Source organism: Homo sapiens, chromosome 16 (assembly GCF_000001405.40).
Source record: "Homo sapiens chromosome 16, GRCh38.p14 Primary Assembly".
In the NCBI taxonomy this organism is placed as follows: domain Eukaryota; kingdom Metazoa; phylum Chordata; class Mammalia; order Primates; family Hominidae; genus Homo; species Homo sapiens.
Genome location: NC_000016.10, coordinates 27,455,500 through 27,479,360, shown reverse-complemented (window position 1 = coordinate 27,479,360; position 23,861 = coordinate 27,455,500). Strand labels below are relative to the sequence as shown.

The window sequence follows — 23,861 nt, the reverse complement described above, 5'->3', positions numbered from 1 at the left end:
TACATACAGTAAAATAATATTACATGAAACTCAAAAAAAAAATGGGGAAATGGTTTGTAATTCCAACACCTAATATGGCTACTCTTTGGGGATTTTCATATTTCTTTGTTTTAATTGATGAATAATAATTTTATATATTTATGGGGTACAGTGTGATGTTTTAATATATGTGTTCATTGAGGAAGGATGAAGTCAAGTTAACCAACATATCTGTCGCCTCACCAACTTCTTTTGTTGGCAATACAAACCTTAAAAATCTATTATTTTAGTAATTTCAAAATATGTAATGTGTTATTAACTGTGGTCACCATGCAGTTTTAAATCATGAAAACTTTTTCCTCTGGTCTAACTGTAACTTTATACCCTTTGCTCAACATCTTTCCTTTCTTCATTCCTTCCCTTCCACTTCCCAGCCTCTGGGAACCACCTTTTTCCTTCTTCTATGAGAATAATTTTTTTAGATTACTTCTGGGTGGGACATTTTCTTCTTGTGCTTTTTTTTTTTTTTTGGATTGTAACACACCCACAGTTTTAGGTGCTGTTCCTCTTACAATTAACAGTGGATCTTTGCCAGTTCACATTTTTCCGTGTTGCCACATAATTGTCGGTGAGTGAACATTGCACATTTTCTCAGCCCTCCTTTTTATAACAGGCAGGACAGGGTATATTCTCATTTTAATTTACATGCACAGCACTCGACATTTGGTGAGTTTAACATTTCTCCCACTCCCAACACTTTAGCCAATAAATGGCCATCTTGAGCCAGCATCCGCTTGCTTAGTGAGGAGCTGTTTTGTTTCACTGACATGCTGTTATGTTTCTTTTGCAGGTACCGAGTTTTGGCAATTGGGGATGAAAAAGATCAAACCAGGAAAGAGGATGAACTTAACAGGTAAGTACTGATATATAGAGTAGCTTTTCCTCAGCTGCTTAATAACTTGATGGCTGACAACCTATTGCACTGGGGTAATCTAGGGCCAAATCCAGCCCACTACCTGTTTGTGTGAACAAAATTTTACTGGCATACAGCCATGCCCATTCTGTATGTTGTCTATGCTGCTTTTGTGCAAGAACCTCAGAGGTAAGTACAGTTGACCTTTGAACAATTTGTGGGTAAGGGGACGCCGACCCCCTGCACAGTCAAAAATCCACATAGAACTTTTTTTTTTCTTTCCTTTTTTTTTTCTTTTGAGATGGAGTCTTGCTCTTTCGCCCAGGCTGAAGTGCAGTGGATTGATCTCAGCTCACTGCAGCCTCTGCCTCCTTGGTTCAGGTGATTCTCATTCTTCAGCCTCCCGAATAGCTGAGATTACAGGCACCTGCCACCACACCCAGCTAATTTTTGTATTTTTTAGTAGAGACGGGGTTTTGCCGTGTTGGCCAGGCTGGTCTGGAACTCCTGGCCTCAAGTGATCTGCCCACCTTGGTCTCTCAAAGTGCTGGGATTACAGGCGTAAGCCACCACTCCTGACCCAAGTATAACTTTTGACTCCCTAAACCTAACCACTGATAGCCTACTGTTGATCAGAAACCTTATCAATAACAGTTGATTAATATACAGGTGTAAGCCACTATGCCTGGCCCCACATGTAACTTTTGACTCCTCAAAACCTAACCACTGATAGCCTACTGTTGACCAGAAACCTTATCAATAACAAAGAGTTGATTAATTTATATTTTGTATCTTACATATGTTATATACTGTGCTCTTACAATAAAATAAGGTAGAGAAAAGAAACTGTTAACAAAAATAAGGGGCCAGGCACAGTGCCTCACGCCTGTAATCCCAGCACTTTGGGAGGGCGCTGCCGGCGGATCACCTGAGGTCAAGAGTTCAAGGCCAGCCTGGCCAACATGGTGAAACCCCGTCTCTACTTAAAAATACAAAAATTAGCTGGGCGTGGCAGGTGCCTGTAATCCCAGCTGCTGGGGAGGCTGAGGCAGGAGAATCGCTTGATCCTGGGAAACGGAGGTTGCAGTGAGCTGAGATCACACCATTGCACTCAAGCCTGGGCGACATGAGCAAAACTCTGTCTCAAAAAAAAAAAAGGAAGAGAAAATCTATTTACTATTCACTAAGTGGAAGTAGATCATCTTAAAGGTCTTCATCCTTGTTGTCTTCATTTTGAGTAGTCTGAAGGGACAGAGGAAGAGGAGGGGTTGGTCTTGCTGTTTCTAGGGTGGCAGAGGTGAAAGAAAATCTATGTATAAGTGGATCTGCACAGTTCAGACCGCATTGCAGAAGGGTCAGCTATAGTTGGAACAGATTCCATAGAGCCCACCAAGGCTAAAGCATGTATTAACTGGCCCTTTAGAGGAAAAGTTCCTGACCCCCTAGCCTTGAATATCACTGGCCAAGCCTTAAGGTAGGTTGAGGAAAGGATTTAAACTCTGAACCCATGAGCTTTCCAAGCAAAACTCAGTTCCAAAAGCCCAGGTTTTGTTTTTCCATCTTGGATAATCAATAGTCACTTTGATTTTAGCTCTGTATTTCAGTGAGAAACCTTTTTTCTTCGGAGAAAAACTCGTTTAGAATTAGAGGGAAAGAAACGAGAAGTACTAACTACATTTATTAGTGGTCATGTAAACCCGTTCCAGGTAGGTCACCCCCTATCTACTAAAAGAAACTTTTCTCCTGCAGAAATGGACCTGTTAGTAAAGCCTAGAAACCATCATATATTGTGTTTTCTTTTGTGAATAGTTTTGGCATTTGTGTCCCTTTTGTGAGATTCAAGTTTTTTTCCCTAAGAATTGCATCTGCCTGAGCTGAGCAGTGCCTGTGGTCTCATGGTGCCCTGCTGCCCCCTCTCTTTCAGCGTGGATGACATCCACTTTCTGGTGCTTCAGAACCTGATCCAGAGCACGCTGGCCCTCTCAGACAGTCAGATGAAGTCCTACCAGTCATTCCAGGTGGGTGTCGGCTGCCCGGCAGCACAGCGGGGATGTGGGCCCTTCCGAGGCCAGGCTCGTGAGGTGCTGGCCCCTGCCCTTCTCCGCTGTGGGCTCTTGGGCTGATTCCCCCAAAATGCCAGCCCACATGTCTTTCAACTTTATTTTTTTATCGTTGTTTTATTTTTATTTCTTTGTGTTTATTGTGTATGTTTATGTTATACAACTGGAGGATTTGATGTACGTATACATTGCAGAATAATCGTCACAGTCAAGCCAATTAGCACATCCATCACCCCACATAGTACCTTTTCTCATTATGGTGAGCACACTTGGCGATCTCTCCTCCTGGTGCATTTCAAGTGTACAGCACCAGATTGTCACCTGTCATTACCAAGCTGTGAGCCTCCAGGGCTTAGCATCTCATAGAACTGAAGCTTTGCACCCCTTGGCCAGCTTTCCTCATCTCTCTCTTTAGTCTTTAAAGCATGGGGATGGGATCTAGTGACCTCCACAATCCCTCCCAGAGCTGAGGTTTTTAAGTCTAATGTTTAAGACAGAAAATGAAGCAGGAGAGGAAATGAGGCATGGCAAAGGACCTGAGAAAGTAATTGAGCTATACGGCATAGCTTTTCAAATCATCACTTTGGAATGCCAAGATATTCTGGTTGTGGGAGGTCACTGGATGGGAAAGCTGCCTTTCCGTGGGCAGTGAGTCATCTGTCTCCCGAGGACACAGGTCCACGCGGCCGCTCTACTGCGGCTGAAAGAACATGAGAGTGAGGAAGGGAAATCACATCGAACCCCCGGTGGAGCCTGGGAAGTCAGTGGTCTTACTACTCTTATACAAATGTGGGCACTTGAGGTTCAGAGAAGTTAAATCACACACCCAAGACCACATATCTCAGTCATCACCCAAGACCCCAACAGAGAGGTGCTGAGGGTCCCCTGCCAGTGCTGCCCAGGGCCTCGTTCTCCCCCAAGTCATCAAAAGTGAATTCTAAGGAGGACCCGTTCATTTTGTATTTAATCACTAACCCTAAAAATCTGCTCCTGGCTTACATTAACAAGTCACCTGATTTGGAATACGAGGGGAAAAAAGAATAAGAAAACAAAGGGACTTTCCTAATCCCGCCGATGAATTCAGATGGGTGAGGACCCGATCATTAGGGCGCCTCACAGTCCACAGAGAGATCTTATAGCATGTTAAGCCCAAGCCCTATTCTCAGAGACTCCAGTCAAGAGCAGTGGAGTGGGGCCCTGATAAGAGTGTGCCACCCCTCCCCAATCCCGAAGGGGCCCATGGGCCACCCTTGCAGAAACAGCAGTGTTGACCCTGGCGGGGCGCTGCACGTGCTTGTTACTTTGGCCACAGCGGGGCAGGGAGGACTGGGGGAAATGGAACTGGTTCAGGAAAATGCCACGCTGGGCTTGAATGCCCTGCTTCAGAGCAGCACCCTGGCCCTAGTCTTTAACGGCCATGGCCAGACCTCAGCACACCCAAGACAGAGTGTGCATTTGATTTCTCCTGTTTTAATCACCACCTGGAGGTTCTCTGTGCCTCCTGCAGGGACACATGGGACCATCAATCAGGGAGGCCCGAGAAATGTCCTCATACACTTGCTGTGCATCCCTTGAACCCTGTGTTTTATTTCCTCCTGCCTGTTTTACACATACGGTCAAGTGTACACATTTGGAGTGGAAGGCTAGTATCTGTGCCGTGCGCCCTCTGCCACCCCAGCATTTTGTAGATGAAAGCAAAGCCCTGTCTGAGCCTGAACTTGCAGAGAAAAGAATAAATAGTATTGGGTGAAGTTCCAAATAAACAGTCCACAGACCGTATTTTATTGGTCTCACGCTTGTTTAAAAGGAAAAAACAAAATTTTTTTTTCAAAAAATGTTTTTTCCAACATTGCACACAGGAGTCCAAATTTCCGACTTCTGGCTGTGGGGTGGGCCTTCCAGCTATCCTGCTGATTAGTGGCTCAGAGCTGGAGGGGACTTTGGGGATCCTTCCCACTGTACCCCACCTCCAAACAAGAAAGCCCAGCCCCAACGGCAAAAGCTGGGCCCCCTGCCTTCTAGCCAGGCCCATCCCCAGTATTATTCCCACGGCTTTTTCCTCCTCCAGTTCCAGTTCCATCTCCAGGTGGCACCTGGGCTCTGATGTGTGGTACCGAAGGCCTAGTCACTCTGCCTTAACCCCCAGGGGCATGGAAAGTCACCTTAGAAAGACCACCGGCCTGCGTAGCCTCCCTCCCCGAGCAGGAAACAGGACACTTCTTTAGTGACTCTTGAGTGAGGACTGGAAGGCCAACAGCAATGTCAGAGCCCCATAGGGGACCCCGCGAGGCTCCCCTCAAGGTTCCGGGAAGCCAGTGGAAGGCTGCAGGTGGGCTCACTGTGCCTGTGACAGCCCAGCCTCTTGGAAATGTGAGTGGGTGGACGATACCCCCCAACTCACCACACATGGCCTGAGCGCTCCTATCCTGTTATGTGGGAATACACCCATTCGCTAGTTATATTCAAATGGAAGAGAAGAGCAAAGTCACAGAAGGCTTGTCACAAGGAGTGAGATGCAGCTTCCCTCCAGTGCTCTAGGGAAGGATGATGGTGTAATGGCCACTCCCAGCTTCTCCCGCCCACCACATGGAGAGTGTTCCCCCATAAGGTCTGATGGTCTGCATGCCCAGGACTGGCGCACAGGTGCTGTCTAGAGGAAGCAAGTTGCACAGGCTTCATTCAGATACGCTCCAGGGAACACCTGGGTGCTGCCCCAGAGCCCCAGCTGACCACCGCACCGGTCCCCGGTCCCCTTGTGTCCCTCCACTGGAAGGAAGGTGCAGTGGTGAGGTTGCTCTTCTCTCCTCTGACCCACCCCTGCCTGACAGTGTGACCTCAGAGGATCACTTAAAGTCCATGTGCCTCAGCCTCCTCTGTCACTGAAGGTCCTGGGGGCAGCACCTAAAATCCTTAGACCATGACAGGGATTTTTCTTGGCCAGTGCTTTTGAGGAGACAGTCCTATAGGAGCTCTCTCAGAGGATGGCAAATGCTAGATACTCAGGAACTGCTGGTTGCTTGCCCTTTGCAGAAGCTTGGAGTAACAGAGACTCTGCTGACTGCACAGTCCTTTGAGCTGCTTGTTCACTAGGCGGGGCCCAGGTCCATGAGACTTAGCAGGCTGAGCCATGAAGTCACCATGGCATGTCCAGCAGAGGTACTTCCTTCCGCCTAGGCACTGGGGTGGCAACAGCAAGAGTTGAATCTAGGCCAGGCATGGTGGCTTACGCCTGTAATCCCAGCACTTTGGGAGGCTGAGGCAGGATGAGGCCAGGAGTTTGAGACCAGCCTGGGCAACATGGTGAAAAACCCATCTCTACAAAAAATACAAAAATTAACCAGGCATAGTGCCTGTAGTCCCGGCTACCCAGGAGGCTGAAGCAGGAGGACCGCTTGAGCCAGGAGGTCGAGGCTGCAGTGAGCTATGTTGGTGTCACTGTACTCCAGCCTGGGCAACAGAGTGAGACCCTGGCTCAAAAAAAAAGGAGTTGAATCTGTGTTCTCCTGGGACTTCCAAACAATGAGTAAGCAAATGAGATTGTTTCAGGTGGCTGCTATGGAGAAAATAAAACAGGATAATATAAGGCAATTGACCTCAGAGGAGGAGAATGGAGAGGGATTTGTTATTTGAGGGGAAATATTTGGGCTGAGCCCTGAATGTTGAGGAATCAGCCAGGCAAAGATTTAGGGGAGCGGCAGGGCAAAGGCCCCAAGGCAGGATGCCTCAGCTTTTTCAAGAAATGTAAGAAGGTCCAGGAGGCTGGAGGGCAGTGAGCGAGGGGTGGTGTTGGGGGACGTGAGGCCAGAGTGGTGGCTGGGCGGGCAGGGTCCCACTTATCAGGCTCCTTGTCGTGAAGGACTGGTTGTGGTCACATCTGCAGAGGGAAGTCCTTGGGGGTTTTGAGGCAGGGCAGGAATGTGTGGTCTGATTTAGGCATGGAAGGATTACTCTGGCTGCTGTGGAGAATGGTCAGGGATTGGGGAAAGTGACATGGGGAAGGAGGGAGACCAGTCAGCTGGGGACCATGGTGAGAAAGAACAGTGGCATAGACTAGATGGGCCAGTGCAGGTGGCACGAACCCGATGCATTGGAAGGTAGAGCCCACCTGACGTGCTTTTGGCTGGGTGGGAGGCCAAGGGACAGAGTGGTAGACGAGATGATTCTGTGTTGATTCCCTCTGTCTGCATCCAAAAGAAATCGGCTTGGGAGTGAATAGCCCCCCTGTCTCGTCAGTTCCCTGTCCTTTGTGGTCTCTGGAAGTGTGACGTGGTGGTCCGAGAATTGGGATTGCTGACTTCCTCAGCACCCCTCCCCCTGATACACACACTCACACACACACTCACTGACACACACATACGCCAGCCTGGGCCTCCCACGATCGGTCACTTCCTCTATAAAGCATCAGCCGCAGCCTCTGCCTCCACATACCCCAGCCCTCTCCGTGGCCGGCTGGAGAACCCTACTCACCCTCGCCGCCCTGTGTTGCAGACTTTCCGCCTCTATCGGGAGTACAAGGACCACGTTCTTGTGAAGGCCTTCATGGAGTGCCAGAAGAGGAGCTTGGTCAACCGGCGCCGGGTCAACCACACGCTGGGCCCCAAGAAGAACCGGGCCCTCCCCTTCGTGCCAATGTCCTACCAGCTATCCCAGACCTACTACAGGTGAGTACCTGTCAGGAGCCTTGGGTACTCCGAGGTGGAGCCACGCCCTGTCTGTAAAGAGGAGCAAAGGAAGCACTGTGGCCATGAAAGCGTGTAGGAGCCAGGGACCTTCGCAGCCTCATGTGCAAGATGCCGGCTTGGGTTTCCTGCAGCCCCTTACCTCCTTCGTGGTATGGGGATCAGGTGAGCGCTGGCAGCTTCTTTGTGTTGGCGGCGTTACCATTTTGCAGGTGGTTTGTTTCCGTTTCTCTCGTCAGATGGAGTGAAATCAGTTTGCATTTAATAATTGGCCTGGCTGGAAGTCCACCCTCCTGTTCCAGCATAGCCTCAGTCCCTCTTCCGCGTAGCCCTGAGACCTGGGAAGCCTCCTGGGCCCATTCGCAGCACCAACAGCCAGTGCAGGATTGGGGTGCGGAGGTGCATTCAGACAGGCATCCTCCTGGGGCTCCCTCCTGAAGCGCTCTTGCAGTGTGGCTTCATGCCGCAGAGGGCGTTGCACCACCAGCCTCCTGACCACACGCAGAGAGTCCCTGAGAACATTCCTAAGCTGCCGTCTTGACGGCTTCCCCTTCACACCATTCTCCTTCCCCGCACTCAGGTCTGCACGGGGCTGCAGTCAGATGCTCAGAGACAGCACCATGAATCTTCTTTTGGTTCTTTGATCCCATCCCTTCCCCACGACGGCAGACACTTCCTCCTCCCCAGACCCTGACCCCGAATGACCCTCAGGCCTCTGGGAAGTAGGTGTGGCAGCAGAAGATACGTGCCCAAATCCAACAAGGCCATTTGTCACGGAGACACTGCTCTGACCGCATGTCCCCATCTGAACCGAGGGCAGTGGTCACAGACAAGGAAGGCCTTTTTGGTCCCTCCCTCTGACCCTGGTAGCAGGGTCATGGAATGTTGCTCTCTGGACAGAGCCGGGGAAGTGACTCACCAGGCACTGCGTGGAGACAGCTTGGGCACATGTGTAAGACCAGGGCTGGCTTTGTGCGGAGACTATTATTACAGAAAGCGTGTTCACCATCCCTAGTTCAGCAGCTGTGTACAGTGAGCCCCTGTAAGGTGAGCCTGCCAGCGCCCTCCTGGAGCGCCAGGTGAGGCCACATTGAATTAGATGAGGAGACAGGACTCTGCCCGGAAGGTACTCAGGCAAGCGGGGAAGAGAGACACAAACACCGCTAGGTGGGAATGCAGCACCTTCATCTGGGATGGGACAGAGAGCTTTAGGGAAGAAGTGGGGCGTTTTGCTTAGTTCTCACCATAATGGTTTGACGTGCTCATAGTCCATCCAAATGAAGGCTTCCCACAGCTGGCCCTCAGTCAGGCCCTTCCTTTCTTTTTGTCTGTAGGATTTTTACGTGGCGATTTCCAAGCACCATCTGCACGGAGTCATTCCAGTTTTTGGACAGAATGCGGGCTGCCGGCAAGTTGGACCAGCCTGATCGTTTCTCTTTCAAAGACCAGGATAATAACGAGCCCACAAACGACATGGTGGCCTTTTCACTGGACGGCCCTGGAGGAAATTGTGTGGCCGTCCTGACCCTCTTCTCTCTGGGCCTCATTTCTGTGGATGTCAGGATCCCGGAGCAGATCATCGTGGTAGACAGCTCAATGGTGGAGAATGAGGTCATCAAAAGGTAAGAGTCCGGCATCCGCAGCATCAGGTCTGGCCACGTGCTAGGCATTGGCCAGATACAGACGGGCAGGGGTCAGCAGTGCCTTCTGGGAGCTTGTGGGATGGGAGTTGCAGATGAGTGACTGGGGATTATAGGCCGGTGTCTAAGGTGTCCTCTGCTGGTGCCTCCCAGGTGTTATGGGAATCAGCCAAAGAGAAGGACGCAGCACAGCGGGGCAGGGGAGGGGCAGGGAAGAGAAGGGAGGACTGTTCCTGAGGGCCTCGCAACAGAACTGGGGCTTCCTGGGGAAATGGGTGTTTTCTGGGCTGAGAGACGGGCAAAAGGAACAGTCCCCACAGAGATACAGCTATGTGACAAGGGGTGAGCGCGGTGCACGGGAAGGTGGGAAAGGGGATGGATCTGGGGCAGCCATCCACACCAGCCTTGGTAATGAAGCATAGCCAGTTGCTGGGGCCACTGCTGAAGCCCAGCCACAGAGGCCTCTTGAGGGAGGGGAGAGGCTGCAGTAGCAACTGGCTGGCCTATGCTCAGGTATCCAGGTCACAATTCCCTTCTAGCTTGGGGAAGGACGGCAGCCTGGAGGATGACGAGGATGAAGAGGATGACTTGGACGAAGGTGTAGGGGGCAAGCGCCGGAGCATGGAGGTGAAACCTGCGCAAGCCTCCCACACCAACTACCTGCTGATGAGGGGCTACTACTCCCCCGGCATCGTCAGCACCCGCAACCTCAACCCCAACGACAGCATTGTGGTCAACTCCTGCCAGATGAAGTTCCAGCTCCGCTGCACCCCTGTGCCCGCCCGGCTCAGGCCCGCTGGTGAGTGCTCCTGCTGGTGCTGTGGGAGGGCCTGGCCTCGCCATCATCCAGGAAGACCCTGAGGCCTGGCCTGGGACCTAGACCTTCAGGCTCCCCAGGCCAGGCGTGCAGCCACAGAACACACAGAAAAACACACCCCATCCTTGCAGCCAACTCAAGGGATGCCTTCCCCAGGTGCCTGTGCTGTGCCCACACCTCTGTGGGAAAGCTCCCCGCACCGCCTCTTTTAGTCACAGCTGTGCTGCAGGCACCAGCAGTCACTCAGGTGGGCTCACAAGGAAGAGCAGAGCACTTCCGCTTCCCCACCCCGCCCACTCTCCACGGGCGGCCCTGTCACTGCCCGGGCTCTAGTCTCCTGGTGCTTAGCTCTGCAACTCTAAAGTGTGTGCTCTTAGGAAACTTTTAGGTATTATCTTTTGACCCCTTGCTAGGAAAGATAAGTATTCCGCTCACATTCATGATCTCCTGCCTCCTTTACTTCCAATTTTGACACTATTTTAGTTCTGTTGATGACCTTTGAAACTTTACTTTTTATTTTTATTTATTTATTTGAAATGATTGAGACGGGGACTCGCTATGTTGCCCAGGCTGGTTTCAAACTCCTGGCCTTAAGTGATTTTCCCACCTCCGCCTCCCAAAGTGATGGGATTACAGGCATGAACCACCACACCAAGCCTATTTTTTAGGGTCTTGCTCAGTTGCTCAGGCTGGAGTGCAGTGGCACGATGATAGCTCACTGTCATCTCTAGCTCTTGGGCTCAGGTCATCCTCCTGTCTCAGTCTCCTAAGTAGCTTGGACTATAGGCATGTGCCACCACAGCCAGCTAATTTTTTAATTTTTTGTAGAGACGGGGCCTTCCTCTGTTGCCCAGGCTGGTCTCAGGCCTCAAGGGATTCTCCCGCCATGGCCTCCCAAAGTGCTGGGACAACAGGCATGAGCTACCATGCCAGACCTAGTTTATGTAATATTCTAAATCCTTTGTTGCCATTTCAATGATGTTCTCAGCGTCTTTACCAGGAGTAGATTCTATGTCAAGAAACTCAAGAAACCACCTTCTTTGCTCATCTATAAGAAGCAAGTCCCCATCTGTTCAAGTTTGATCCTGAGATTGCAGCAGTTCCATCCCATCTTCAGACTCTACCTCTAGTTCTCTTGTTATTTCCAAGGCATCTGCAGTTACTTTCTCCGCTGAAGACTTGAACCCCTCAAAGTCATCCATGAGAGTGGGAATAAATTTCTTCCAAACTCCTGTTGATGCTGGTATTTTGACCACCTCCCATGAATCACAGATGTTCTTAATGGCATCTAGAATGGTGGCTCCTTTCCAGAAGGTTTTCAGTTTCCTTTGTCCAGATCCATCAGAGGAATCACTATAATAGCTATAGCTTTACGAAATGTATTTCTTTCTTTTTTTTCTTTGAGACAGAGTTTCACTCTTGTCGCCCGGACTGGAGTGCGGCGGCATGATCTCAGTTCACTGCAACCTCCACCTCCCAGGTTCAAGTGATTCTCCTAGCTCAGCCTCCCGAGTAGCTGGAATTACAGGTGCCCACCAACACACCCGGCTAATTTTTGTATTTTTAGTAGAGATGGTGTTTTACCATGTTGGGCAGGCTGGTCTTGAACTCCTGCCCTCAGGTGATCCACCCACCGTAGCCTCCCAAAGTGCTGGGATTACAGGCGTGAGCCACTGTGTCCGGCCATCAAATGTATTTCTTAAATAATAAGACTTGAAAGTGAAGTGACTCCTTGATCCATGGGGTACAGAATGGATGTTGTGTTAGCAGGCATGAAAACAACATTCATCTCCTTGAACATCTCCATCAGAGCTCATGGGTGACCAGGGGCATCATGAATCAGCATACCATTGAAAGGAATCTTTTTAGTCTGAGCAGTAGGTCTCTACAGTGGGCTTAAAATATTCAGTAAGCCACATTGTAAACAGATGTGCTGTCATCCAGCTTTGCTGTTCTGTTTATAGAGCACAGGCAGAATAGATTTAGCGTAATTCTTAAGGGCCCTAAGAATTTGGGGATGGGAAATGACCACTGGCTTCAACTTAAAGTCACCAGCTGCATTACTTCCTATCGAGAGTGGCCTGTCGTTTGAAGCCTTGAAACCAGGCCTTGCCTTTTCCTTTGTAGCCATGAAAGTCCTAGATGGCATCTTCCAACATAAAGCTGTTTTGTGCACATTGAAAATCTGTTTAGTGTATCCACCTTCATTACTGATCTCAGCTAGAGCTTCTAGAGAACTTGCTGCAGCTTCTCCATCAGCACTTGGTGCTTCACCTTTTACTTTTATGTTACGGAGACGGCTTCTTTCCTTAAACTTCATAAACCAACCTCTGCTAGCTTCCAAGTTTTCTTCTGCATCTTCCTCACCTTTCTCAGCCTTCATAGAATTGAAGAGAGTTAGGGCCTTTCTCTGGATTAGGCTTTGGCTTAAGGGAAGGTTGTGGCTGGTTTGATCTATCCAGACTGCTGAAACTTTCTCCATGTCAGCAACAAGGCTGTTTTTGCTTTATTATTGTTTGTGTGTTCCCTGGAGTAGCACTTTTAATTTCCTTCAAGAACTTTTCCTTTGCCTTCACAACTTTGACTAACTTTGGCACAAGAGGCCCAGTTTTCATCTATATTGGCTGTCACCATGCTTTCTTCACAGAGCCTGATATTTTCTAGCTTTTGATGTAAAGTGAGAGATGTCCAACTCTTCCTTTCACTTGAATGCAGAGGGGTCACTGTAAGGTTATTGACTGGCCTGACTTCAATATTGTTGTGTTTCAGGAATAGGGAGCCCCAGGAGAGGGAAGAAAATGGGGAATGGCTGGTCCCTGGAGTTGCCAGAACACACATGATACTTATTAATTAAGTTTGCTGTCTTATGTGGGCATGGTTTGTGGTGCCCCAAAACAATTACAATAGTAAGGGCAAAGATCACTGATCACAGGTCACCATCACAGATATGATAATCATGAAAAAGTTGAAATATTCTGAGAATTCCCAAGCGTGACAGACACAAATCGAGCACACGGTGTTGTGAAAGTGGTGCCCGTAGACTCTCTTGATGCAGACTTGCCGCAAGCCTTCAGTATGTAAAAAACCCAAGAACACAATATCCGTGAAGCACAGTGAAGTGAGGTGCGCTGTTGAAGTTGATGGTGTTCACTGTACATTTCATAACCACAGTTAGAATTCTATACTTTGGAGTTTGGACTGGGCAAAAATGTAGTGATAACCTATCAATTATGGCTTTAGCAGAGACATATTCTATAGGAAGCAACAGTAGCCAGCCCTGGCTAGTGTAGGCAAAAGTAGGGTGTGTAGAAGGGGCCTGGAGTATCTCACAGGGTCTAAGGAACAGTGGGTACATGAGCAGCAGGAAGGGATGGGACCAGGCCAGCCCTGGTCAGGGACTCCCCGTCAGAGCACTGGACTTTACAGTTCTCGAACCTCAGTCCTCGGCCTCTGTGCCCTTCACTTTACATCTTGAGCAGGAGAATCACAGTGGCCAAGAGAAATCCAGTCAGCTGTTGTGTCCCAGTCAGCTGTAGTCAGAGGCCTAGGGTCACGGATCAGGAGCCTGACTGCCAGGGGCCCAGTGTGTCCACCCAGCAGGTGACCCCTGTGGCTGTCGGGGAAGCAGTGAGTTGGTGCTGGAGCATGCCTTTCCTGGGTGTGGCCTGTGCATTGGTCAGGGGAGGGGGGCCTCTGTCGGGCTGCCTCTGATCTTCCTCTGTGTCCCCACAGCCGCTCCTCTGGAAGAGCTAACAATGGGAACCTCCTGCCTCCCTGATACGTTCACCAAGCTGATAAACCCCCAGGAAAACACCTGCAGCTTGGAGGAGTTTGTCCTCCAGCTGGAGCTGTCTGGGTATAGTCCCGAAGACCTGACTGCTGCCTTGGAGATCTTGGAAGCCATTATAGCCACGGGTTGTTTTGGGATTGACAAGGAGGAGCTGCGCAGACGGTTCTCGGCCTTGGAGAAGGCAGGTGGTGGGCGCACCAGGACATTCGCAGATTGCATCCAGGTGAGCTGTGCTTTAGGTTAGCCGGATATCACCGAAGCGGAAATTGCAGCTCCCAGGCCAGGTGCACACTGAGGATGGGCTTGATTTGGGGCATAGCATGCTGCGTTCTTTTTAAACGTTGAATTAGTCATTAACACTTGAAAACTGGGGCATTTCACATCCGCTTTGAGGGTACAGTTGTGGATCCCCAAAGGTCACACGGCTGACGTGGTTCACGAGCAGCCAGAGAGAAAGAGATGCTGCTCCAGGGCACAGGGCTAGCAAGGGGCAGCCCCGGGGCTAGGAGCCAGGCCTGCCTCGTGGGCCTGGGCTGCTCAGGGCACTCAACCCGCCAGTCAGGGGAGGCCACTCCACTCGTCCCCCGTCACCAGCGTGGAGGATCCCGAGCTCCCCACAGACCCCGCGTGTCTCCTGCCTCCCCAGGCCCTCCTGGAGCAGCATCAGGTGCTGGAGGTCGGTGGCAACACTGCGCGCCTGGTAGCCATGGGCTCTGCCTGGCCTTGGCTCCTGCACTCCGTGCGGCTGAAAGACAGAGAAGACGCCGACATCCAGAGAGAAGACCCCCAGGCCAGACCCCTGGAGGGGTCTTCCAGTGAGGACAGCCCCCCCGAGGGGCAGGCACCTCCTTCTCACAGCCCCCGGGGCACCAAGAGGCGCGCCAGCTGGGCCAGTGAGAATGGGGAGACCGACGCCGAGGGCACCCAGATGACCCCTGCCAAGAGGCCAGCGCTCCAGGACTCAAATTTGGCCCCCAGCCTTGGGCCCGGAGCTGAAGATGGGGCAGAAGCCCAGGCCCCATCTCCACCCCCAGCTCTTGAAGACACCGCTGCAGCGGGAGCAGCACAGGAAGACCAAGAGGGTGTCGGTGAGTTCAGTTCCCCAGGCCAAGAGCAGCTGAGCGGCCAGGCGCAGCCTCCAGAGGGCTCTGAAGACCCCAGAGGTACCGCGCGCCTTGTCCCCCACCCCACCTCACCCCACCCTGGCTTTCCCTCCCCTCCGCCCTGATGGGCCTCACACCTTCCTCCGAGGATGGGGGACCTGCCACTGGCACAAAAGGGGCTTGACTTCAGCTTCTCAGAGCCTGAGCCCTGAGGGGGAGGATACTGCCTGTAAATGCATTTCCAGGGGAGGGCAGGCCTCCCACATCCCCAGGCAGCACTGTGAGTTCCAGAGCAGGAGCTCAGGCGGTGGGGCCAGCGTGTGCACTGCAGCGGCTGCTGTGGGGCAGTGATGGCATGGGGGTCTCAACTTCCTCGGGTGGCAGCACGCCCTTTCCTTTCCTGCACGTCTGTCATCAGCAGCGGCCTTCTCATGTGGCTTCTCTGGGCGTTTTTGTTTTCTTTGGGGTGTTTTTGCCTCGGGTTTTATACCACCCTTGTGGTCGGGGCTTCTGGGTGGAAAATGAGGTGTTCGCTGGCTTCCTGCAATGTGGGGCTTGTCCGGGCCTGGGACGCTGCTTGCATGTGGCGCTGTGTGCGGCAGTCTGCCCGGCCCTGCCACCTCCAGGGTGGCCGCTCTGTGAGATGCTCATTGTCCTTTTTTTTTGACACTTCATCCCCTGAGCCTCGAGGTGCCCTGCTCATGCTAGGTACCATGCTGAAGGTTGGAGGGCAGAGATGGCTTCCCTGACTTTCCGAGTCTCTCACATTCTCTTCCTCTTCCCTCAGGGTTCACAGAGAGTTTCGGAGCTGCCAACATCTCCCAGGCAGCACGGGAAAGGTGGGTGTGGGGTTCTGGCTCCGGGGCCTGGGGCGGGGCTCTTGACAGGGACCGAGTGTAAGGATTTGTGTGAGGGTCTTTGAGGGTCTTTCCCCAGGTACCAGCTCTGACAGCCTGCCCGGCACCTTGGTTCTTGGCAGGGGTACTTGGAGGGGCGCAGTGGGCGAGCAGCAGGCGTGCTGAGCACTGGCAGTGCCCAGGTCGGCCTGGAATGAGGGCTGCGCTTCCAGAATGCCCAGGGCGCTGGTGGAGAACCATGCCTGGTGCTGTCAGCTGTGCTTCACTGGCTCCTCATGGCCCACAGGCACCTCACCCACTCCTGCAGATGAGCCAGGGGTCCACAGAGGGATAAGCCCTGAATGCCCAGCTGCCCCCGGGACAACCATGCCACAGAGTTACAGGAAGCAAGGGGGCCGCAGAAGCCCCTCTGGTGGGGGCGCCTCCCATGAGTGTGTGTGCTGACCCCAGATTGGCAGGGCCCAAGTGCCCTGTGTCCTGGCTTTCAAGAGCTCAGGTGTGCCCCCTCCAAGGCCCAGCCATAGCGATGAGAGCCTGGTGTCCAGCTCTTCTGGGTCCGCCCCACTCGTGGGCCCCGGGTGGCTGTTCAGTCTCTGGTTTAGTAACAGAAACGTCTGTTTCGAGGAAAGTGTGCCTGGAACTCTGCACATGGCGTGGAGCAGAGCTTCAGGGTCACGCTCCCGTGAGTTTTGCCACAGCCTGGAGGTGGTTTCTGCCTGGGCTGCCAGTAGAGCTGGCAAGTCCAGGAGTCACAACCCTTGTCCCTCTCCTGCCAATGTGGGTGGGCCCACTGAGGCCTCAGTTACAGCTACATCAGAGCGGACACCACGTCCTGGTTCCACCCAGCTGGCGGTCAAGGGCCCCTCTGTCCAGACAGGAGAGAAGCAGGGAGTTTGGAAAGCAGAGAGCAAGAGGTGGCTGGTCTCAGCCCTGTGACCTGGGCCAGGCCTAGGACGCCCCTGAGCCTCAGTGTTCTGTCTGGACGAGCTGCCCTCCTGCCCCCACCAAGCCCTGATGTCAAGCCCTCTCCCTGCAGGGACTGTGAGAGTGTCTGCTTCATCGGCCGGCCGTGGCGTGTCGTGGATGGCCACCTGAACCTTCCTGTATGCAAGGGTATGATGGAGGCCATGCTGTACCACATCATGACCAGGCCTGGCATCCCCGAGAGCTCCCTGCTGCGCCACTACCAGGGGGTCCTGCAGCCCGTCGCCGTGCTGGAGTTGCTCCAGGTGTGGGGCCTTCCTGGGTTCAGCAGGGTGTGGAGGCGGCTGGGTGCACTCAGTGGCCCGGCTGTGATGTTCAGGCCCCAGGCAACATGCAGTACCACCATACTGCTTGCCTGCACCTCCTCCCCCAGCTTGTCCTGGGCTCCTGCCTCTCAGGCTGTCCCTCAGTGTCCTTCACCAGCTCCATGCTGCTGACCAGGCTGGAAGATGGGGTGCCCGGGGTGCTTGTCTCTGATGCTTTCTCTGTGCCAGGGGTCACTAACTCATGAGTCCGCCGGGCCCCACGGGTCAAGCAGCTGCCCCCTGGTGCAGCTGCTTCCTGCTTGGCTGACTCCCATGTGTGCCTGGGGCCTCCAGCTCCTCTGGCAGCTAGGAGCTTGAAGTTGAGTGTCAAATTCCCCATGAGCCAAACAAAACCCCACCTGGAAGCCAGTCTTGGCTCACAGGAAGCTGGGATTTATCCCGCGCTGCAGGCCTCTCCTCCACAAATGAGATTCAGCGTGGTGGCTCCAGCCAGCGCTGTACACGTGCTGCTCAGGCAGCTGCCTCTCCCACCAGGGCCTTTGCCTGAACCCTCCTGGTACATCCCCATCTGCCTCATGCCCAGTTCAGGTGCCCCCTGCTCTGGGAAGTGGCTCCCTGGTACAGAGGGGGCATTCCATAAATGCTTGAAGAATAAATCAACAAGCAGGCGAGGGCAGTGCCGCTGTAACCTGTGTGTCTGGTGTCTCCAGGGCCTGGAGTCCCTCGGCTGCATCCGGAAGCGCTGGCTGAGAAAGCCAAGGCCTGTCTCGCTCTTCTCTACACCCGTGGTGGAAGAGGTGGAAGTGCCCTCCAGCCTGGACGAGAGCCCCATGGCTTTCTATGAGCCCACCTTGGACTGTACCCTCCGGCTGGGCCGTGTGTTCCCCCACGAGGTCAACTGGAACAAGTGGATCCACCTCTAGGACCCCTGTGGGCGTCCCCTCCCTCCCAGCCACCGCCTGCCACACCACTCCTGCCTGGTGCTCGGCAGACCCCACTGTGCCCTGGCCTTGGGTCTGCCGAGCCTCCTGCAGCAGGGGACGGGTGCTTTGGCCAGAGTCACAGACTGACACGTTTCCCACTGTACTGGAACTCTGGAAAGAGGGGCTCCCCGACCTGCCCATCCCCCAGGCTCTTCTGGGCCTTCCCCTTGGGAACTGGCCTCATCACACTGGGAGTTGGTGCTTCTTGTCTCTGGGTCTCCAGAGTTTGCCCCGCCTGTGCACACCTCACATTCCAGACTCTAGCCATCTCGGCAGGATCTCCTGGCTCCTTGAGTGCCCAGGTGCCACCAAGAGGAAGGGCCTTGTGGGATACACCTTGCAGAATAGGGATCGGTGTGCCCCGCTGCGAGGGGCCCCCCATGGGGGCTGTGGCCCCTCCGCAGGCAGGACATCCCAACCCCTGGCTGGGACTGAACCACCCAGAGCGGAGCGGCTCCCTTTTCAGCCTTGTGAGTCACCTGGCAGGCCCCAGCTGGGCTGGCTGTCCGTGTCCCTCAGCCTGGCTGGTGATTCCTTGCAGGCCAGAAATGAAGAGTCCCTGTAGGTTTTGGTTTTGTTTGTTTTATTTTGTTCTTTCACCTTTTTTCCTCATTAAAAAAAAAAAGTCCCTGTGGAGTGTACTTATTTATTTTTTGATTAAAGGGAAGTAAAATGCATTCTGTTTTGTGTGTTTCCTAAAGAATCAGTGATTCCCCTAGGGGACTCCCTGCTTTGGCTGCAGAACAACCTGGAATGGCTGTTCCCATTGAAACCAAAGGAAGAGGGAAGGCCCTGATCCTAAGCTCGGCAGCCCCGCCCAGCCTCAGCCAGCAGGTGAGAGATGGCCTCCAGGATGGAGAGGGGCACAGGCAGCTCCCTCACCACCTTCTCAGCTGGTCCCAGGCCTGTCCCCCACAGAGCAGCTCCCAGCCCAGTGCCAGGCCCACGATCAGCTCAGCTCAGCACAGCTGGTGTTGGCAGGGCCTGCGGGATGGGTCTGGCCCCTTGAAGTTCTCTTGAGCTCACATTGTTACATTTTTTTAAGTTAGTTGCCAACATTTTTAAAATGTAGAGTTCACATTTTTTTAAAAAAAATTCAGATTTCTGTCTTCTCTTAAAATGGAAAGTTCCAGTAACAATGGGCTTAGCTTCCTGCCTGTGGCAGTCAGAAGTGCTAAGCAGAGGCCACTCCCTCTAGGTGGGATGTGCCCCGACCTGGCCAGCTGTGTCTCACACCCACCTGCAGCTTCTCTCACCTAGAAAAGTGTCCCCTCTGGGGAACATGTACCCCTGACCTGACCCACCTTCCAACCTATGTCTCCATCCTCCCTCTACGAGGGACCAGGGCCCTGGTCACTCTGGGCCACACTTCTGGATGAGGAGGGACAAAGGCAGGGACTTGGGAGTCAGAGTCCTGAGAGTGAGTCCCCGCACTGCCTAGCCTGGTCAGGTCTTAGTGTCTATTTTTTTTCCCTTTAAAGTTTCATTCAAGTGTAGAAACAATAGTGTTCTATGGGATTTTTTGAGGCAATCAAGTAGAATAGTGGATGTGGTCTGCTTCATAAATAAAATACTGTACAAATACTAATTATTTGGGAAAGTGTGGCATGGTGGAAGAAAGGTTTGGGAATCCAGTAAGTGTTTCCTAAAAAACTGACCCTGCATTCACATTTCAGAGCCTTCGTTTTGTCGTCTGAAAACTGGGGGAAGAGTATCTCCCTCAAGGGAGGGCCAGATGAGCTGAAGAGCACCGGATGCAAGTGCATAGTCGGGTTCAGCAAGTTTCCTTCTTTGCCTGTGCCTCCCAGATGATGGAGAGTGTGGGCATGTGTTGGGAGATGGGACATAGGGATGGTGGGGACAGCTCTCAGATGGTGAAATGGGGCTTCTGTGAACACCAGTCCACATCCCCATTCTGCCCAAGGATAATCTGTTGCTTCTTCCCCTCCCTCCTACCCATCATGAAGCCCCTCATCTGCCCACCCATCTGTCCATCCATCCATCTGCACATCCATCCACCCAACTATCCACCTACCCATCCATCCATCCATCCATCCATCCATCCATTCGCCCATCCATCCACCCACCATCCATTCATCTGTGCATTCATCTACACATCCATCCACTCATCTGTCCATCCATCCATCCATCCACCCACCTACCCATCCACCCATTCATTTGTCCATCTGTCCATTCATCCACCTACCCATCCATTCATTCATCTGTCCATCCATCCATCTACCCATCCATCCATCCATCCTTCCAAGACAGCTCTCTGCCCCTCCAAGCTCTGCACAGAAATCTCCAGAAGCCACAGCATTGACCAGTAGTTGTGAGCTGAGATGCCTTCAGGGGCCAGGCAGGTAACAAATGAGAGGAAAGGGGCCTTGGGTTAAATACTAGGGAGTGATAGCAACTGTGGAAAACTAAAATGTGTATGCCCAGGCTGTGAAGGAATGCAAATTTGAAAGAAACATTAAGCACTAACTACCAAACAAAACCTACGAAGGGGCAAAAATGGGTCTCTGGCCCTTTTGCAGCTGCCAGAACAGTGCTAGGTGGTGGCTCCTGGTCTCCTGCAGAGAGGCCAGGGAATGCACAGCCCAGATGGGCACCTGCACGAGGCCCGGACACCTTGGCTTTGTGTCCCCAGCTTCCATATACCCCCCAGTCTTGCCCTCCTCACTCTTAATTCTTTTTTCTTTTTCTTAGATAAGCAAATACATGAATGCATTGTCTGTTAAATACAACATTTCAAATCTGGCTAAAGCCTGTGGGCCCCTCTCCTTCAGGGCCCCTCCCACTTTCCCTCTTCCCATTTCCATCCATATCTGTCTGTGCACGCCCTGGGAAGCCCGGGCCTGTAACATAAAACACGCCCTCAGCACGGCTCACTCACCGACCCCCTGGCACATCTGCATCAGCATGCCTATTATGGGAGTGTTTTGAGGAAGTAGCCAAAGCTTTAGTGGAAAACCACCCAGGAAAGCTTCACCAGAGAGTCCTTCTCCACTACAGCAATGCCCCTGCTCACTCCTCATCAAACAAGGGCAATTTTGCAAGCGTTTCCATGACAAATTATTAGGCACTCACCTTATAGTCCTGATATGGCTCCTTCTGACTTCTTTTTGTTTCCTAAAAAAGAAAAAAAAAACTTTAAAGGGCACTTTTCTTCAGTTAATAATGTAAAAAGATGGCATTGCCATGGTAAAATTCCCAGGACCCTCAGTTTTTCAGGGAGGGGCTGAATGGCTGGTCTCATCGCCCACCAAAGTGTCTTGACCTTGATGGAACTTATGTTGAGAAAGACAGTTTGTTTCTTATTTTTAATCTTTGAATTCATTTTCCATGAACTTTTTTTTTTTCTTTTTCTTTTTCTTTTCTTTTTTTTTTTTTTGAGACAGGGTTTCGCTCTTGTTGCCCAGGCTGGAGTGCAATTGCGTGATCTGGACTCACTGCAACCTCCGTCTCCCGAGTTCCAGCGATTCTCCTGCCTCAGATTCCGAGTAGCTGGGATTACAGGCATGCGCAACGACGCCCGGCTAATTTTGTATTTTTAGTAGAGACGGGGTTTCTCCATGTTGGTGGTGTGAGCCACCGCGCCCGGCCTCCACAAACGTTTTGAAGTCGCGAATGTGTGTATCTGTGCACATACATGCTGTGTATGTATGTATTTGTGTGTGGGCATGTGTGTGTGTGAGTGTGCATGTATGTGCCTGCGTGGAGTCTCCCTCCTTACCTCCAATGCCCAACGCAGGTCCATCCACCCAAAGGGTAGAAGTCAGCCTTTGTTGAATTAAGCAAACCCCTGCCAGTTCACCCTGTCCTCATCGCCCGTATTCTCTACCGCAGAGGGCTGCTGTGGTGATTGTCCAGGGTCCCCTTTATAAGCGCCAGGCAGATGCACTTCTGTGGCCCTTTCCCCCTGGACAGCAGAGCGAGCGGGCACTGCCTTCAGCCGACACCTGCATATTGCAGTGCTTACCAGCAGGTGGCAGCAGCCACCCAAGCGTCTCTGTTTCCCATTACTTCGCCTTGGTTTCCAAATGTCAGGTGCTCTTGGTCCATACAGGCTCCAGGGTGAGGCCAGTAAGAACTGACTGGGGCAGGGCATGACTTATCCATAAAATGGATGATATCCTAGCAACAAGATTTCCTGAGCATCTGCCAGATGCCAGACACTGTTCTGGGCACATTACACACATTAACTTCTGGCCCCACAATAGCCCTAAGACGTCTGCCTGATCAGTATACTCATTTCATAGATGAGGAAGCTGAGGTGCAGGAGGTAAAATCATGTCCACAGGGCTGGAGGCTGGAAAGCGGATCTGCTGGTATTCCCAGTCTGCCAGCCTCAGGGACCTCCCCATCACACCGCCTTCCAGGGATGGGATTTGTTTTGGGGTGGGGGGGGAGCCAGCATTGTGCTGGGAGACTCCCTAAAGAGTAGGATGAAAGGGTTTCTTATCTGGGGTCATCAATTTTTTTTTTTTCTTTGAGACAGAGTCTCACTCTGTCGCCCAGGCTGGAGTGTAGTGGTGCGATCTCGGCTCACTGCAACCTCCGGCTCCTGGATTCAAGTGATTCTCCTGCCTCAGCCTCCAGAGTAGCTGGGATTACAGGCGCCCACCACCACACCTAGCTAATTTTTGTATTTTTAGTAGAGACGGGGTTTTGCCACGTTGGCCAGGCAGGTCTCGAACTCCTGCCCTCAGGTGATCCACCCACCTCGGCCTCCCAAAGTGCTGGGATTACAGGCATGAGCCACCACGCCTGGCCTGGGGCCATCGATTTTTGAAAGAACCTTCACATTTGTCACCCTTAGACACAGGGGGAAGACCTATGATTGCCCCATGGTCTGAGCAATGAAGGAAGGGCTCTTGCTCTCATTACAGACTCCCCAGGAGGCGGCCTGTTTTCATCTCCACACCTCATTCTGTGCCCTTTCTAGGTCTGGGGCAGATGGTTGCCTCCTCTCTCCATACTGCTTTGCCAGTCACTGCTCTACCATTGATTGATTCATTCATTCATTCACTTATTCAATATTTTTTAGCACCTGCTCTATACCAGGCACTATTCTAGGCTCTGAGACCCAGCGGAGAATTAGATCCCTGCTGTAGTGGCGATAGACAGTAAATATGATGGATAAATAACACAAATGTATGAGAAGGTATAATAAGTGTGATGGAAAAAACAAAACCAGGCAGTGGGGTGTTGCACTTTGAATAAAGGACCCAACCCAGAGTGGAGAAGGTGACGTCCGAGCAGACTTGACTCCATCCTCTCATCTTACACGAATGCGTGGGTGTTTCCTGATGGCAGACAAGTCCTCTCCTTGTTCTTTCCTGTCGAGAGTTTAAAGGAAGCGCCTGCTTTCTTTCCTGTCGAGAGTTTAAAGGAAGCGCCTGCTTCCTTTACTGTCAGTGGAATGGGCTCCTGGGAGGGGCAGTGCACGTGCTCACTGCTCCATCTTCCACCGGAAGTCCCCTTCTTGGGTTCCACCGGTGCCCTGGGACTGGGTGGGCTGTGCAGGGTTGTGCCATACCATGGGGCCAGCAGCCGGGCTCAGGCAAACAACATCCCCAGATAGGAGGGAGGAAGGGGCTTTCACCTCCAGCGGGGGGACCAAAAGGAGCTCAGGAATGGGGCAGAGCATGATGGACTCCAGGCAAATCACTGCCTTTTTCTGGGCCTTCACTTCCCTCTGTCTCCTTCCCTTGTTAGAGCATCTGGGACCCCCAGACAGCATCCCAGGCTGAGATCTCGCAGGAACTGTTGATGGTTGGAGAG

The 23,861-nt window shown here is 52.3% G+C and overlaps 1 protein-coding gene across 4 annotated transcripts in view, besides 2 other annotated features; it reads left to right on the top strand.

Annotated features, from left to right (window-relative positions):
• GTF3C1 (general transcription factor IIIC subunit 1) overlaps positions 1-18,748 on the top strand; it is an 89,301-nt gene extending 70,553 nt beyond the window's left edge. For 2 of the 4 annotated variants that reach the window (XM_047434036.1, NM_001286242.2), the window contains 10 exons: positions 830-892; positions 2,817-2,910; positions 7,441-7,613; positions 8,966-9,253; positions 9,811-10,070; positions 13,821-14,101; positions 14,525-14,966; positions 15,769-15,820; positions 16,875-17,067; positions 17,799-18,748. In XM_047434036.1, the coding sequence (XP_047289992.1) occupies positions 830-892; positions 2,817-2,910; positions 7,441-7,613; positions 8,966-9,253; positions 9,811-10,070; positions 13,821-14,101; positions 14,525-14,966; positions 15,769-15,820; positions 16,875-17,067; positions 17,799-18,011 (2,059 nt within the window). In that variant the 3' untranslated portion in view covers positions 18,012-18,748. Of the gene's footprint in view, positions 1-829; positions 893-2,816; positions 2,911-7,440; positions 7,614-8,965; positions 9,254-9,810; positions 10,071-13,820; positions 14,102-14,524; positions 15,042-15,768; positions 15,821-16,874; positions 17,068-17,798 lie in introns of all 4 variants that reach the window. The other 2 variants (XM_017023188.3, NM_001520.4) reach the window with 1 other exon arrangement.
• Positions 7,538-8,039: an enhancer, noted in NCBI's record as "H3K4me1 hESC enhancer chr16:27482643-27483144 (GRCh37/hg19 assembly coordinates)". NCBI's record gives its function as "activates a minimal SCP1, AML or CMV promoter by ChIP-STARR-seq in primed H9 embryonic stem cells {active_cell/tissue: H9 hESC(primed)}" and the evidence as "EXISTENCE:reporter gene assay evidence [ECO:0000049][PMID:30033119]".
• Positions 22,260-22,309: an enhancer, noted in NCBI's record as "active region_10632". NCBI's record gives its function as "activates an Ori minimal core promoter by ATAC-STARR-seq in GM12878 lymphoblastoid cells {active_cell/tissue: GM12878}" and the evidence as "EXISTENCE:reporter gene assay evidence [ECO:0000049][PMID:35858748]".